Source organism: Homo sapiens, chromosome 1, assembly GCF_000001405.40.
Source record: "Homo sapiens chromosome 1, GRCh38.p14 Primary Assembly".
Classification (NCBI taxonomy): Eukaryota; Metazoa; Chordata; class Mammalia; order Primates; family Hominidae; genus Homo; species Homo sapiens.
Window position 1 is genome coordinate 224826278 of NC_000001.11, and position 17854 is coordinate 224844131.

The following is a 17854-nucleotide window of genomic DNA, read 5'->3' on the forward strand; positions in this document are numbered from 1 at the left end:
AGATAAGTTCCTTCTATGCCTATTTTGTTGAGGGCTTTTATCACAAAGCATTGCTGGATTTTATCAAATGCTTTTTCTGCATCTATCGAGATGATCATATGGTTTTTGTTTTTAATTCTGTTTATTCTGTTTATTGCACATTTATTGAAATGAGGAGATTAACATTGACATAATACTATTAATATATAGACTTTATTTAAATTTTTGCAAGTTAGCCCATAAATGTCCTCTTTTTTTTTTTTTTTTTTGGTCTAAGAACTTATAATGCATTAAGTTATGTCTCCTTAGTTTCCTCTAATCGGTGTTGATATGGTTTGGCTCTGTGTCCCCACTCAAATCTTACCTTGAATTGTAATAACCCCCATGTTAAGGAATGATGGGACCAGGTGGAGATAATTGAATGATGGGGGCAGTTTCCCCCACACTGTTCTCTTGACAGTGAATGAGTTCTCACAGATCTGATGGTTTTATAAGGGGCTTCCCCCTTAGCTTGGCACTCATTCTCTCTTCTGCTGCCCTGTGAAGAGGTGCATTCTGCCATGATTGTAAGTTTCCTGAGGGCTCCATAGTCCTGTACAACTGTTAATCAATTAAACCTCTTTTCTTTATAAATTACCCAGTCTTGGGTATTTCTTCATAGTGGCTGAGAATGGACTAATACATGTGTCCTAAGACATTCTTATTTAATAGGTTTGCGGTGAGTCCTAGGAAGTTCTATTTTTCAAAAGCTTCACAAATGCATGCTCCCCAGTAGAAAATCTCTGCTCTGGCATATAAAGATAAATAATACTAATATTAGTACTACTAACTTTGCTACTTCTAATAATATTTAAAATTTATTAAGTGATTTTTGGGTGCCAGACACTGTTTAATTTGTGTTGTATTTTCTACCCACTTAAATCTCACTACAACCCTTAAGTTAGGCACTATTATACAAGTTTTTCAGAAGAGGAAACAGAAAACTTTAAGTAACTTGTCCCAGGTTACATAGTTGCTTAGTGTTAGAGCTGGGACTTGAGCACAACCAATCTGGCTCGGAAGTCATACAAGATCTTAACTGCTGCAGTGCATACTTTCGCTGGTGGGCAATGGTCTTTTCTAGATAGCAAACCTCAAAGGTCTATAGTGTGATAAACAAGATATGAAAGATAAATAATTATAGCCCTGCTGTGACAGAATTATATTCACAAAGGAGCTCATGTCTCTGCCCTAGAGAAACTACAAATGCTCCTCGACTTATGATGGAGCTTACATTTCTTGACTTACAGTCTGATAACCCATTATAAGTTAAAAATACTATAAGTAAAACATGTATTTAGTATACCTAGCCTACTGAACATCATAGTTTAGCCTAGCCTACCTTAGATGTGATCAGAACACTTTTATTAGCATATAGATGGGCAAAATCATCTAAAACAAAGCCTGTTTTATAATAAAGCATTGAATATCTAGTGTAATTTATTGAATACTATACTGAAAGTGAAAAACAGAATGATTATATGGGCACTGAAAGTATGGTTTCTACCAAATGTGTATTGCTTTTGCACCATCATATAATTGAAAAATTGCAAGTCAAACCATCGTTAGTCAAGGATTGTCTATAGTAAAAGCTTCCCAGAACAGACAACTGAGCTCATCATCTTCAGATGAGGTGTTTGCCTCATAAGAGAGTAAGGCAATGGGAGAAGGACCTCCCAGGAGAAGAAAACTGCATAAAAGTGTGGAAGGGAGGGAAAGCAACCATGTGCCCCACAAGGTTGGCCACAAGTAGGGCCCAGGGGTGGTGGAAGAGAAACAGGGGATGAGTCCAGAGAGGCAGGCATGACTGTTGGATAGATATGAAAGGGCCTTGAATGCCATGTGAGGAGCTTGGGCTGAACCCTGCAGGGGAAAGATCTGAAGCAGGGGAGTTTTATAAAGGTCTCTCTGTCCACAGAATGGAAGACAGATCTGAGGGGTGGGCCTGAAAAATCCTATTTGCCTGGATTACGTGCCTAAATGTGAGTGATAGATACATCGTAGTACCAGAGGAGGCCAGAAATGAAAACCACTCAGTCTGAAATGGACACTGATTATAGTTGTCTGCAGGGAGGAGGAGAAGAGAGAAGGAACCAACTTCACATTAAGCCAGAACTCTGAATATAACGCCCGCACAGAAACCTGATGGGAAGTGCATTAGCTTTTTCATAAGGTAGCTGTTAGCTCTGTCACATGGTGTCCTGGTTTGGGTTACCTCAGAAGTAGACCCAGAGACAAGGACTCCAAGGCAAATGGTTTATTTAAGAGGGGCAGGAGGCACCAGGAGGAAAGAGTGGGTGATGGCACAGGGAAGAGAAGACAGCCCAGAGATAGTACATTATCAGACCAGCTACCTTTGTGGGTGCCTGGAACTTAATCGCAAGAGAACATTGGATAATTATGTAAGACATATTCCTCAGATTATCCCACCTAAGGGGTGAGGGACTTGGGGTATGTATACACCAGCTCCTGTTGGTTGTTGATTGAGAGCTGCTCCAGGGAAATGGACCACTCCTTCCCCAGGTCTCTTGGGCCACAGAGAAAGCCTTCAGGCAGAGAGATGCACATGTCTGTACTTAGAAGTTGGCAGGAGTTCCCCCAAATGGTAGATGCCCAAAGAAATGTTAAGGATCTGCTAACCACAGGATGGCTAATCTAGCAAATATGCTGTGTTGAGTGAAATAAGATTTAAGAATATGGATCTAAAATATTTAGAAATTCCATATTAAAATGACCTATTTTAATAATTCTACTTGTAAAAGTTTAACTTGTTAGTCACAGATTGTCATACAAGGTGTACAGGGCTGGCTTGCAGGGTAATCCCTACAAAAACTTTTATAAGTTTTTGTATAAGACCTGAACAAAGGCGAAGATGGGCTCTGAGAGATGTAATGTGATAAGAATCACCAGAATGGGGCAATCTGGTATATCCAGACAGAACTTTTAGATGAGAGGATCTGAGAAGGTCTCATGAAGGACGTGGAATTTGGCCCAGGATCTAGGATGGTTAGGATTCTAAGAGGCAAGGGTGGAATCCAGACTGCAACAGCCCAAGTGATGGGAATGAGGTCAAGTGGTGAAGGAGTCTTCAGTTTGTTAGGAGAAAGGGTCTGGTGTAGGAAAACTGGGAGATAAACCTAGAAAGGTCAGGGCGAGACTAGGGAAGACTCTCAAATGCCAGATTAAGGTCTTGGGACTTATGTGGCAGGCAATCGAGAATCGCCTAAAGCTGAGAAAGAGAGGTATGCACGTGGAACAGTACTGTTGGAACACTAAGCTGGTGGCTTTTTAATCAGATAAATTTGAGGGTAGAGATGAAGGCCAGAACACCTTATTAGGTTATTAAAAATGCTCAGGTCATAAGAAAGTAGAGTATGGAAGTAGCAGTCGAGGGGAATGCAATGAAAAACAGATGCGTGGGGCTTATAAAATAAAAATCAACAGGAAAGGGGTTTGCTTTGGTGGGGGAAGTGGTACTATCAGTGTCAAAAACGGACGGCATCATTAGCAAAATAGAGAAGTCAGAAGAAGGGACAGATTTGGAGGGGAAGCAGATGAGTTTGGAGTGGTAAATGTTGAATTGAAGCCTCGTGTCAAATGCTTTGCTAGATGCTTTGGCAATTTCAAAGCTGAAACATAGACATATACTCTGTCTGGAAGAAACTCCTAGTCTAATAAGAAAATTAATACCTGTTCTTAAATTACTATAACACAAGGTAGAAAAGCTAATTGTGAGTAACTAGAGAGGTACAGATGATAAAGATTCCACGGGAGGGAGGGAGAGGGAAGGGAGGGATCCTTCAGCTGCAGGGATTTGGGAAGGCTGCCTGGAAGCATTTTATAGGTAGGATTTGAACAGGTCAAGAGAATAGTGCTTCTAGGCTGAGAGAACATCAGGAACCAAGGTATAATGATTTTTTTTAAGTGAGCTCTGTTAGGAGATCTCAGTGGTTCATTTTGGAGGAGTGTGCATGAAAAGAAACAACAGGAGATGAAGTTGGAACACAGTTTGGGGCCAGATGTCAAGGGTCTCTACTGCTGGATGAATGAATGTAAGTTTTAATTTATAGCTACTGAAGACTCTTGAACCGGGAACCATCCCTATCAGAGCATGGACTGGAGAGGGGACACCAAAAGCCCAGGCAGGTGATTGCATGAGGCATGAGATAATAAGGCCTCTAGCAGGATGGAGACAGTAGAAATTGGGAACAGGATCTATTTCAGGAAGATTAATGAGCAGGTGTGTTCAATAAGATGAGTTAGCAAGCCAGAGTATATCTGCATGAGATAAACAGCCCACTTCCAATTTCATGGTGTGCCTTCGAAGCACACAGCAGAACTTTGGCTTTACTTTTGAGGCAAATTCACTGGGGTTGGCCAATCTTGAGTATGTCTTGTAGGTTAGTTAGTTTAGGTTTCCTTGCTTTCCAAAGTTTTCATTTTTACAAACATAGCCATGGACTATGCTGAATCACTGCTTCATTCTCAGTGGGAAGCTTTAGACAGATCCAAGAGCACCATTGGTTGAAGTGCACTGACATGCATTCGATCAGTAATTCTGCAAGTAGTTTTATCAAGTGTTTACTGTGATATAACAAAAGTTTGCTGCAAATGACCTTGAAGAGAATTGGAGCACTGCCCATATCAAGCATGAACAGATGGAAATTTGTGTGCAGACAGCAAGAGAAAAATTTGTTTTGAAAGCTCTTGAAAAATCATGTCACCTACAATGTCAGAACAAGCATCAGTGTAAGATCATGCTCTGTGCTTGCATAAAAAATAAGAATCTTATATTATTCCTGACAAACTGTTTTTTTAAGAAAGCATATAAATGTGTGTTGGTTTTCCTATAAATTATTGATAATTTTTGTTTTAATTTTGAACATGTAAGTCAAAGAGCAGGACATTTGAAGTTTGCAATTTGAGGTTGACCTAAGTACCCTTATGATAATATAAAATGTAGATAAATAAAATATCTTGATCAGGAGAGCATACAACATCATCACAAGAATCCCTATGGCTGACTGTATTTTCCCTAAATTGAACAGCAATATTTCTGCTTCTACATGTGCTCCCAGAAATTGCCAGTCCCCCATGAAGAGATGGAATCTATTTTTCCTCCTCTTGAAACTGGGGCTAGGGGAACATTGCAATTGCCTCAATCAGTAGAATGTAGTGGATGTGACACTGTGGGACTTCTAAAGCTAGGTCATAAAACGTGATATGACTTCCATTTGGCTCTCTCTCTCTCTCTCTCTCTCTCTCTCATATGACACTCACTTTTGAGACCCAGCCACCATGTTGTGGGGAAGCCACGGGTGGTAGTTTTAGCCAACAGCATTAGACAAATTGACAGCCAGCCTCAACCACCAGACACATGAGTAAGTTAGCCTGCAGCCGATTCCAGTTCCCAGCCTCAAATCATCCCAGCTGAAGCCAAGTGGAACAGAGGCAAGCCTTCTCCACCCAGCCCTGCCAAAATTGCAGATTCATGAGCAAAATAAATGTTGGTATTTTAAGAAGCTGAGTTTTGGGGTAATTTGTTATATAGAAATAGGAACTGGAAAAGTCCTTTAATGCCTAAGAGGAAGAGCATGCTGAAAGGGTGCCAGTAAGTGGTATGTGCTGGGCTGAAATTCTTGATCATAAAGAGGCCTGGCAGCAGGTGAGAAACTTAGAATAGTTACAGAGAGGATATGTAGCATTCCAGGCCACAAGAAACCTATAGTCTGGCGAGAAAGGGATACTTGTGGCTTCAGGTGAAACCTCCTAACTGAAGCATGTGCATGAGCAAAAGAGAATGCAGGGCTGCAAGAGTCACAAATGCCTGAGAGGATAGAGGCACCTGGTGACAAATATCCATTTTTCAAGAGGACCTAGTCATAGATCTTGAAAAGAACATTACCTAAAGGCTCCAGGGAGGATAAACAAAGTAGGAAAAGCAAAAGAAGTTTTTTCTGTTCTCTGTCTAAATTGCAAAGGATAGAGACTTGATGGGAAAGATTAATCAGTAATCAATGAAAACATGACATCCACAAAGGCTCCTCTGATGTGAAATATGAATGTAATAGGTGACAAATGGTGGGACAAAACCATCAGTTCGTGTTCACCTCCATTTCACCGCCAGGACAGCTTAGGCAAATTTAGATAGTTTACCCCATCAGTAAAAAGATTTCAAACACATACCACCAATATATGTATTTTATTTGTAAATTATATTCATATACAACTCTACTGATATGGTATGTACATTTAAAAATATACACAAAATAAAGATACAAATATGAATAGAATTTTTTAGTTAACAATATCTTCCTCAATGTTGAGTTATCTTGTGTCCCACTTAGGAGACTAATGCATTAAGAGTTTAGATTTTAGACTTAGACCTTAGTAATAATCATGATCAGGACACCACATTTCTGTATGGTTTTGTGTATGTTACTTAACCATTCTAGGTTACATCTCATTATAATAGGATAACTAAGCACTGTACAAATAGATGCCATTACATAATGACTGAAAAACTATAGAGGCTTACATTGTGCTCAGTTAACAGTCTAAGCAGCTGTTTGGATAGGCTGGAGGCTTTCTTCCATGCTGTGACTCAGGGAACTGGTTTCTTTTCTCTTGGGTCTCTACTCTCCCTAAGGATCTTACATTACATGCATCTAGTCAGTGCAAGAAGAAACAGAGGGTTGAGGATGCACCCTCTCTTAAAAGCTCTGCTCAGGAAATGGCATCCATCACCTCTATTCTGCAGGAGAAAATTTAATTATGTGCCTAGCTGCAAGGGATGCTGGAAAATGTAGTCTAGCTTTCTATGCCTGGCCATAGTTCTATAATTATGGAAGGAGGGAAGGATAGATGTGACCTCCTCTTTATAAATTATTATCTGCCTATAAATTATTATAATTTTACAAGGGAGTAAATTGAAAGTGATCTCCTCACATTGAATGTGAGGAAATTATAAAATTATAAGTAATAATGCCTTATCCATGAGATATATTTGGAGGATTAAATGCAGAATATCCATGTAGACACTTGGCCCAGTCCTGGGACATTCCAGATGCTAAATAAGTCTCAGCCTCCTGGGGAGAGGGGAGAAGCAGGAGTGCTGGGAAGGAGTTTGATGAAAGAAGGAATTGTCTCTAAGGTGGGAGGCCTGGATCTTCAATGTGACTTTGTCACCAGCCTGGGATCTTGGACAACTCACTTTCCCTCTGGGCCTCAGTTTGCTTACCTATGAAATGAGAATATTGAGCTTGTGATTTATGGGTTTCCATATCTTTCCACTTTCAGCCTTCCATTATTATCTCTTATGTTTTTGGGCCATCACTAGACGGACTCCCTCGAGGACAGAGACTGGATCTTTTATCCCTAGAACCCTGTGCTGGGCTGGCTTTCTGCAAACCAGACACCTTTTCTGTTCTCTCCATTTGCTCCACCCCCATCCCAATCCTCAGGCCTGTTATGCTACCTAAGGCCATCCATGATGCAGGAAAAATCATTTGATGCCTACCTACCTATCTTATCTGCATGTTACAAGTCCTCATCCCATTGGGTTCCATTTGATCAAAAAGGCCTGAGGTTGGAACTTTGGGTACTTAATGACTGCAGGATCTTTTAGAGCTGGTGGCAGGGGGTGGGGAGTCTTCCTTCAAATTCTACTGCAGTGGCCTTCCCTGCTGAGACAGCATGGAAGGTATGCCCCCCAGAGGATCATAGCCTACTATGAGAAAAGACATTAACTTCACTTTTCTTTCTCTTCCAATTTATCTTTAGAGTAAAACACTGTCTATTGATAATGTGGAAGCTCAGGCCTCCCTCCTTCCTCCTCCTGTGCCCCTGGACAACACGCCCACATACACACTCTAGTTATAGAGCAAGAAAACCATGACCAAGGTGGGGACAAACCCAACACTGCTTATAGTGTCCAGATGGCTCACCTATCCCTTCCACATAGGTTCTGAATCCACAGGCAGAATAGAAAAATTAACAGAAGGATAGAGTGCAAATATTTCTATTATTAGCTGGCCCATGATTTCTGTCAGACTCATTTTCATAAGGGAAATATCTTGTCTCCAGTTTATCTCATCAGCAGGGAGCAGGGCTATAACAAGCACTAATAATTGCAACATTCTACCATTTACAGAGAGCACTTTCACACTGATTACCTTATTTGAGACTCATCAGTGAGACTTATCATTGTGACTTGCCCAGCATCACAGAGCTCATACATGGCAAAGACAGGACTGGCATCCATGTCTTTGGGCTCAAAGCTACTTTAAAATACAAAACTATTCAAATCAAACATTTTCCTTTCCAAAGGAAGAACCAATCAATGATGTAGAAAAATTGTTCAAGCTCATTGGCAGAACTTTCCTCTCAAATTCTCATCCTAAACACAGTATTTATAGTCAATTGCCAGGCTGACAGTATTTCCTGCAAACGACAAATGTTTCCACCTGCTTCCTAAGTGCACCTGTGAAATCTACACGACACCACTGTCATGATTCAATTACCAACCGATGTAAGGCCTGCTCCTATCTAGCTCTTCTCTCCCTGTTTCCCCACCCCTCTCCTTTTGTTTCATGTAGGAAACTGAAAATATTCTTATTGGGTAAAGCCAGGAGATGGGAATGCAACATTTGCTACTACATCTTTCATTAGACTCCAAAGTTAAAATAATTCATGTAGATGGCAAGGTCATCAGGGCTCTGCCAGTGTATTTTAGAAGAGTCATTTTCTACAATTTAGATGGCAGGCTAAATGTCAACTCTAATAAGGTAGAAAATTCTTACAGTGGAAAACTCAGTGTGTGCGTGTTTCTGACTACAAACTCTGAGGACCCACTGTGCATCGCCTTATTTAGAGATCATTTTTATTTTGTTCTTGCATAATGAAGAGGCTCGATTCCAATCTCAAAGGCAAATGCATATGGAGATATAAAGAATAAAAGGGGTGAGAGGGAGAAGCAATTTAAAACCCAACAGTATCTCTCTCAGCAAAATGAATAATTAAATTTCAGATTTGTCTTCTATCAAAAATGGTAATACGGGCAGCCATTGAGGGAAGTGTGGCCATGGCATATTAATGATGGATGAAATGAAACATTATATCATTCTATTATTACTATGTGAAGCTAGGTGTGAGAGAAGAGGACCAGCTTATGGAAGCAGAGTGTTCCGGGAGATGAAGGTACACTATAGTTTTGTGATCCTACCTTGCCCTTGAGTTCCATTTGGACTAAGGAAAAATTTTATTCGGGTTTTATTATTATTGTTCCTTTCTCTCTCTCACTCTCTCCATAGCCCATCACAGCCCTCTGTGTGTGAGGGCTTTTTTTTTTTTTTGAGACAAAGTCTAGCTCTGTCACCCAGGCTGGAGTGCAGTGGCATGATCTCAGCTCACTGCAACCTCCCCTCCTGGGTTCAAGTGATTCTCCTGACTCAGCCTCTGAGTAACTGGGACTAGAGGTGCGTGCCACTACACCCAGCCAATTTCTGTATTTCTAGTAGAGACGGGTTTCACCATGCCGGCCAGGATGGTCATGATCTCTTGACCTCGTGATCCGCCTGCCTTGGCCTTCCAAAGTGCTGAGATTACAGGCATGAGCCACCGTGTCTGGCCCAGCCCTCTGTGTTTAAGATTAGATTGGCTAAATTCAGGCCTGGTTAAAAAACTTTGACCTAGGCCAGGTGTGGTGGCTCACACCTGTAATCCCACCACTTTGGGAGGCCAAGGTGGGCAGATCACAAGGTCAGGAGTTCAAGACCAGTCTGACCAACATAGTGAAAACCCGTCTCTACTAAAAATACCAAAAATTAGCTGGGTGTGGTGGTGTGCACCTGTAATCCCAGCTACTCAGGAGGCTGAGGCAGGAGAATTGCATGAGTCCGGGAGGCGGAGGTTGTAGTGAGCCAAGATTGTGCCATTGCACTCCAGCCTGGGGCGACAGTGTGAGACTCTGTCTCAAAAACAAACAAACAAACAAACAAAAAACAAAACAAAACAAAACCTTTGACCTATTCCTTGATGCCAGATAAATTAATAGTTTTGGAAATAAGAAACGTAGAACACTAGTTTTCATATTAACAGCTAACTGGATGTGTCATAGCAGCACTATTCACAGTAACTCGAAACTGGAAATGACCCAAATGTTCATCAAGAGAAGAATAGATAAATTCTAGCATATTGATCCAATGGAATGCTATGTTCCAGTGAGAACAAATGATCTACAACTTCTTGCTACAATATGGGTGAATGTCACATACACAATGTTGAACTGAAGGAGCTGGGCCCCAAAGAGAATCCACCATGGGAGTCTGTTGATAGACACGGAAAACAAAAATGGGTGAACTGAACCGAATCTCTCCTGTTAGAAGCAAGGGTTGTGCTTATCCTTGCAGGTCAGCAGTGACCAAAAGAGCACAACAGGGGCTTCCTACATGCAGATAACATTTTATTTCTGGATTTGGGTGCTGGTTAGTCAGGTGTCTTCAGTTTGTGAAAATTCATTGGAACTGTTCACTTCAGTGTCCTTTTCTGTATCTATATTCCAATTAAAAACCAAAAGACTTCACTGGGTGGACCTTTAAATGGTGTCTTTCACAAAGAGACTTAGCAAATTATAACATATGTTCATCTGGGACCCAGGATGGATCGATCTTGGTACAAACATAGTCCCACCAAGAAGTAAAGGTAAACAACTAAAAATAATTAAAATGCAATTCTGGTCTTTCCTCTCCTGTCCTCTCCTTTTTCCTCTCTCACTGCTCTGCTCTGGAACCTCCCGTTCACTTAAGCCCGATCTCCTCTTTCCTCCCTGGACCATCCTTGAGTTCTAAGCCCCATGGCCCTCACAGCTGCTCCTCTGCCTCTCTCCTGATTTTCCAGTCCTGTCTGTTTCAATGCATTCTCGCTCTTATTTCATATTCTTAACACTTCTGTATGCTGCTTCTTTATTAAAATAAGGTATACAAAACCATTACAATAAACCTCTGGAGTAGAGCATTCTGAAAGTCTAAGGGACAAGTTAGCAAGGAAAGACATTTTAAAGGTCTCATCCAGGGAGGTAACCATGGGGGATTAAAAGGCCTTACTGTGCCGAGATAATTTGCATCTTGTTTGATATACAAAAGAGAAGAGTTTGTTTATGAACTTTGGGTGAAGGAAGTCAACTGCTAGAATAATAAGTATGATGGTTAAGTTTAGCTTAGAACTCAAGGACTGGAATAAGAAACACCTAGAGTGCTAGCGGCCGGGCGCGGTGGCTCACGCCTGTAATCCCAGCACTTTGGGAGGCCAAGGTGGGCGGATCACGAGGTCAGGAGATCAAGACCATCCTGGCTAACACGGTGAAACCCCGTCTCTACTAAAAATACAAAAAAAAATTAGCTGGGCGTGGTGGCAGGTGCCTGTAGTCCCAGCTACTCGGGAGGCTGAGGCAGGAGAATGGCGTGAACCCAGGAGGCGGAGCTTGTAGTGAGCCGAGATCCCGCCACTGCACTCCAGCCTGGGTGACAGAGCGAGACTCTGTCTCAAAAAAATAAAAATAAAAAAAACACCTAGAGCGCTGGCAAAGCATTCCTTCTGGGTGTGTCTTTCAGGGTTTCCAAAGGAGATTGGCGTGAGAGACAGTGGACTGAGTGGGGAAGTCCTCCCTCAATGTGAACAAGCATCATCCAATCAGCTGGGCATCCCAATAGAACAAAAAAGGCAGAGAAAAGGCAACTCCCTCCACCCCTAACTCTCTCTCTCCTGGAGCTTGGACATGAGCACTCTAGGCTCTCTGGGCTTTGGATTCTAGGACTTAACACCAGTAGTGCCCTGGACCGGGTTCTCAGGCCTCTGGCCTTGGACTGAGAATTACATCATTGGCTTCCCTAGTTCTCAGGCTTTCAGACTTAGGCTGAGCCATGACACCAAGATCCCCCAAGCTCTCCAGCTTGCAGACAGCCTGTTGTAGAACTTCTCCACTTACATAATCACGTGAGCCAAATCCCCTAATAAATCCCCACTCAAGTTCTGTCTATATATGCTATTGGTTCTGTCTCTGGAGGACCCTGACTAATACAGTAAGCACTTGCAAGTTAACCAGGGGAAGAAACGGATGAATAGTAATAGGATGAAGCCAAAAAAAAAAAAAAAAAAAAAGGAACACAACATTGTAAGTATAAGGTAGGATTAAATAAAAAGTTCTCATGTGGATGAGAGCAATTACCTTCTAATTGCTCTCCCTGAGACAAGTCTAACCTGTCACATACTTAACCTCCACACAAGACCATGGCAATCTGTGATCACGACCTGACTCCCCCTGTGCCCCCACCTTGCATGCTAAGTCATCCACTGGGCAAAGCCCAACTCTGCCACACAAGCCTCCCTACCTTGAAGACTTGCTTTTCGCTACTCTCCTCCATCTTGGAACCTATTGCCAGGACCTCCTTTCTTCTGGGAATTGCTACCCCGCACACATCCACATGGTTACCATTTGAGCTGTGGTGTCTGTGTAACCTTTGGCCACAGTTGGTTGGTTCTGGGATGGGCACTTGACCAAATAGGGACCAATTACAGTCCCTTCTCCACATCACACCTCCCCTACTACAGTTGGTTGGTCCAGAAGTCAGAACTCAGCTGAAGTGAGCGAATTACAATGCTTCTCCAGGACGTCTTGGAACTAGAATGGAGAAGGAGAGATAAGTCTTTTTCAGAAGTTAAAGCTGTTGTGTTAAAACTTTAAGAACCTTGGCAGCCATGTGTCCTGATGTCTGGAACAGAGACATCATTAGGAGAAAGAGAGGTTAGAAAGGAAAGAGAGAAAGAGAGATATCAGAAGAAAGCCGAGCTGAAGGTCAAAAGGGCCTGACAGTGTTCAAGTTCTTCATTATATCCCTTTCTGAAGGCCTGTGACTTCCTTGGAGTCCACAAGAAAGCCCAGTATGCTGGCTGGGCGCGGTGGCTCACGCCTGTAATCCCAGTACTTTGGGAGGCCGAGGCAGGCGGATCATGAGGTCAGGAGATCGAGACCATCCTGACTAACACAGTGAAACCCCATCTCTAATAAAAATACAAAAAAATTAGTCCGGCGTGGTGGTGGGCACCTGTAGTCCCAGCTACTCGGGAGGCTGAGGCAGGAGAATGGTGTGAACCCGGGAAGCAGAGCTTGCAGTGAGCTGAGATTGTGCCACTGCACTCCAGCCTGGGCGACAGAGCGAGACTCCGTCTCAAAAAAAAAAAAAAAAAAAAAAAAAAGCCTAGTATCCTCAGTATAACCTTCTGTCACTTCTAACCAAGAGTCTTGTTACCTCTAAAATTAAGAAATTGCTTTGGTTCCTTGCATATAGTGTGCTAGTAAATGAGCCCTTCAAAAAACAAAAACAGAGCCAGCACCAGTTGCCACTGCACTGTCCCAAGGTTTCTGGCTTCCGTGTCTTGGTTTATTGGGTTCTCTCTCCTCCCAATGCCCTTCTCATCAGCTTTCTCCCTTGGCTTGGATACCTTTTCAAAGTATATTTCCTCTACCAGGTCTCCTGGGAAGCCTTTTCTAACTCCCTCCCTGTTCCCTTAGCTCCCTTTGTTTGCCTCTATTGTAGTACTCAGCACATTAAACTGAATTTATATAAAGACTTATGTTTTCCGCTCACGTCCGTGTGAAGAGACCACTAAACAGGCTTTGTGTGAGCAACAAGGCTGTTTATTTCACCTGGGTGCAGGTGGGCTGAATCAGAAGAGAGCGAAGGGAGATAGGGGCGGGGCTGTTTTATAGGATTTGGGTAGGTAAAGGAAGATTACAGTCAAAGGGGGTTGTTCTCTGGCTGGCAGGGGTGGGGGGGGGTCACAAGGTGCTCAGCGGGGGAGCTTTTGAGCCAGGATGAGCCAGGAGAAGGAATTTCACAAGGTAATGTCATCAGTTAAGGCAGGAGCAGACCATTTTCACTTCTTTTGTGATTCTTCAGTTACTTCAGGCCATCTGGATGTATACATGCAGGTCACAGAGGATATGATGGCTTAGCCTGGGCTCAGAGGCCTGACATTCCTGTCTTCTTATATTAATAAGAAAAATAAAACAAAATAGTGTTGAAGTGTTGGGGTGGTGAAAATTTTGGGGGGTGATCTGGAGAGATAATGGGCGATGTTTCTCAGGGCTGCTTTGAGTGGGATTGGGGCAGCGTGGGGACCTACAGTGGGAGAGATTAAGCTGAAGGAAGATTTTGTGGTAAGGGGTGATATTGTGGGGTTGTTAGAAGAAACATTTGTCATATAGAATTATTGGTGATGGCCTGGATACGGTTTTGTATGAATTGAAAAACTAAACAGAATAAGAGGAGAAAAACAGGTATTAAAGGACTAAGAATTGGGAGGACCCAGGACATCCAATTAGAGAGTGCCCAAGGAGGTTCAGCATAGCCCTGCCAGCAAAGATTATTTATTTACTTTAAGAGCGAGTTAAGAGTGGCAGTTTGGAGATAGCACCAGGAGATATCAGATGTGATGGCTTGGAGAAACAGTGTAAACCGGCAGCATAAACAAGAGCAGGGCTTGTATGAGTAGTTGAGAACAGTGAATAGGAGTGTGACCAGACAGAAGATAGTAGGGATGACAAGTTTTTCGGGGCACAGTCTAAGTTGGTCTGGTGTCTGGAATGAGACTGGGGCCTAATAAAAAGGAGCGTCTATACAGGAGCTCAAATGGGCTGTACCCTGTAGCATTCTGAGGACAGGCCTGAATTCTGATAAGGGCAAGTGGTAAAAGTATTGTCCGGTACTTTTTAAGTTGGTGGCTGAGCTTGATGAGGTGTGTTTTTAAAAGACCATTAGTCTGTTCTACCTTTCCTGAAGACTGAGGATGGTAAGGGATATAAAGGTTTCACTGAATACCAACAGCCTGAGAAACTGCTTGAGTGATTTGACTAATAAAGGCTGGTCTGTTATCAGACTGTATAGAGGTGGGAAGGCCAACTGAGGAATTATGTCTGACAGAAGGGAAGAAATGACTGCAGTGGCCTTCTCAGACCCTGTGGGAAAAGCCTCTACCCACCCAGTGAAAGTGTCTACCCAGACCAAGAGGTATTTTAGTTTCCTGACTGAGGCATGTGAGTAAAGTCAATTTGCCAGTCCTGGGTGGGGACAAATCCCCGAGCTTGATGTGTAGGGAAGTGGGGGGGCCTGAACAATCCCTGAGGAGTAGTAGAATAGCAGATGGAACACTGAGAAGTGATTTCCTTAAGGTTAGATTTCCATGATTGAAAGGAAATGAGAGGTTCTAAGAGGTGGGCTAGCAGCTTGTAACCTCCATGGAAGAGGTTATGAAATGATGACAGAATAGAATGGGCCTGTGAGGCTGGAAGGAGATATTTTCCTTGGTCCAAGAACCATTTGCCTTGTGTAGGAAGAGATCGATAGGTGGAAGTTTCAGTGGGAGAGTAGGTGGGAGTGGCCAGATGAGAAGGAGAAAAACTGCCGTGAGGGATAGAAGTTGGAACGCTAGCTGCTTTTTTAGCTACCTTATCAGCATAAGCATTGTCCTGAGTGATGGAATCTGATGACTTTTGATGGCCCTTGCAGTGAGTGACTCCAGCTTCCTTTGGAAGTAAAGCAGCTTTGAGAAGAGTTTTTATTAAAGAGGCATTAATGATAGAGGACCCTTGCATAGTGAGGAAATTTCTTTCTGCCCATATAACAGCATGGTGGTGCAGGATATGGAAGGCATATTTAGAGTCAGTATAAATATTGATGCATAGTCCTTTTGTAAGAGCGAGGGCTTGAGTTAAGGCAATGAGTTTGGCTTTTTGAGAGGTAGTGGAGGGGGGCAGAGAGGTAGCCTCAATGATAGGTATGGAAGATACTACAGCATAGCCTGCCTTTGCTGGTAAGTGGCGATTAGGCCTGGTGGAGCTGCCATCAATAAACCAATAGTGTTCAGGGTTTATCAATAAACCAATAGTGAACAGGAAAGAAGGAAATATGGGGAAATGGAGTGAATGTCAGGTGGATCAGAGAGATACAGTCATGGGGGTCAGGTGTGGTATCAGGAATAATGTGGGAGGCCGGATTGAAGTCTGGGCCAGGAACAATGGAACTGTGGGAGATTCAACAATGAGTAAGTATAGCTGAAGGAGCTGGGGAGAAGAAAGTATATGCATCATGTGGGAGGAAGAAAATAGATTTTGGAAGTTATGAGAATTTTAGAGAGTGAGTTGAGCATAGTTTGTGATTTTGAGGTCCTCTAAAAGTATTAAGGCAGTGGCAGCTGCTGCACACAGACATGAGGACTAGGCTAAAACAGTAAGGTCAAGTTGTTTGGATAAAAAGGCTACAGGGCACAGTCCTGGCTCTTGTGTAAGAATTCTGACTGCACTAACCATGCCTAGGAAGGAAAGGAGTTGTTGTTTTGTAGAAGGGATTGGGGTTTGGGAGATTAGTCGGACATGATCAGCAGGGAGAGCACGTGTGTTTTTATGAGAATTATGCCAAGATATGTAACAGATGAGGAAGAAATTTGGGCTTGACTGAGCCTATCTGTGAAGCCTTGTGGCAGTACAGCCCAGGTAATTTGCTGAGCCTAATGGGTGTCAGGGTCAGTCCAAGTGAAAGCAAAGAGAGGCTGGGATGAAGGGTGCAAAGGAATAGTAAAGAAAGCATGTTTGAGATCCATAACAGAATAATGGGTTGTGGAGGGAGGTATTGAGGATAGGAGAGTACATGGGTTTGGCACCACGGGGTGGATAGGCAAAACAATTTGATTGATAAGGCGCAGATCCTGAACTAACTTGTAAGACTTGTCCGGTTTTTGGACATGTAAAATAGGGGAATTGTATGGAGAGTATACAGGTTTCAGAAGCCCATGCTGTAGCAGGCGAGTGATAACAGGCTTTAATCCTTTTAAAGTGGGCTGTGGGATGGGATATTGGCATTGAGTGGGGTAAGGGTGATTAGGTTTTAATGGGATGGTAAGTGGTGCATGATTGGTCGCCAAGGAGGGAGTAGAGGTGTCCTATACTTGTGGGGTAAGGTGGGGAGATACAAGGGGAGGATGTGAAGGAAGCTTTGAACTGGGGGAAAAGGTGGCAATGAGGTGTGGCTGTAGCCCAGGAATAGTCAGGGAAGCAGATAATTTAGTTAAAATGCCTAGACCTAATAAGGGAGCTGGGCAGGTGGGATTAACTAAAAAGCAGTGCATTAAAGAATGTTATCCAAGTTGGCACCAGAGTTGGGGAGTTTTAAGAGGTTTAGAAGCCTGGTTGTCAATACCCACAACAGTTATGGAGACAAGGGAAACAGGCCCTTGAAAAGGTAATGTGGAGTGTGTAGCCTCTGTATTGATTAAGAAGGGGATGGACTTACCTTCCACTGTAAGAGTTACCCAAAGCTCGGCGTCCGTGATGGTCCAGGGGGCTTCCGAGGTGACGGGGCTGCGTCAGTCTTCAGCCGCTAAGCCAAGCAGATCTGGGAAGGAGTCAGTCAGAGAGCCTTGGGCCAGAGTTCCAGGGGCTCTGGGAGTGGCTGCTGGGCAAGTTGGAGAGTCTGATATCCAGTGGGGTCCCGTACAGATGGGACACAGCTTAGGAGGAATCCCAGGCTGCGGGCATTCCTTGGCCCAGTGACCAGATTTCTGGCACTTGAAGCAAGCTCCTGGGGGAGGAGGTTCTGGAGGAACCCCTGGAAGCTGCGGTTCAGGCGTTTGGAGCTCCTGTGTGCTAGAGATGTGGCTGGGGTTTGTCTCACAGTGGAGGTAAGGAATTGCAACTCAGAAATACATTGCTACTTGGCTGCCTCTACTGTATTATTGTACACCTTGAAAGTGAGGTTAATTAAGTCCTGTTGTGGGGTTTGAGGGC

At 43.1% G+C, this 17854-nt stretch overlaps 1 annotated feature.

The window, feature by feature from the left end:
- Positions 13677-14177: an enhancer, noted in NCBI's record as "NANOG-H3K27ac hESC enhancer chr1:225027656-225028156 (GRCh37/hg19 assembly coordinates)". NCBI's record gives its function as "activates a minimal SCP1, AML or CMV promoter by ChIP-STARR-seq in naive H9 embryonic stem cells {active_cell/tissue: H9 hESC(naive)}" and the evidence as "EXISTENCE:reporter gene assay evidence [ECO:0000049][PMID:30033119]".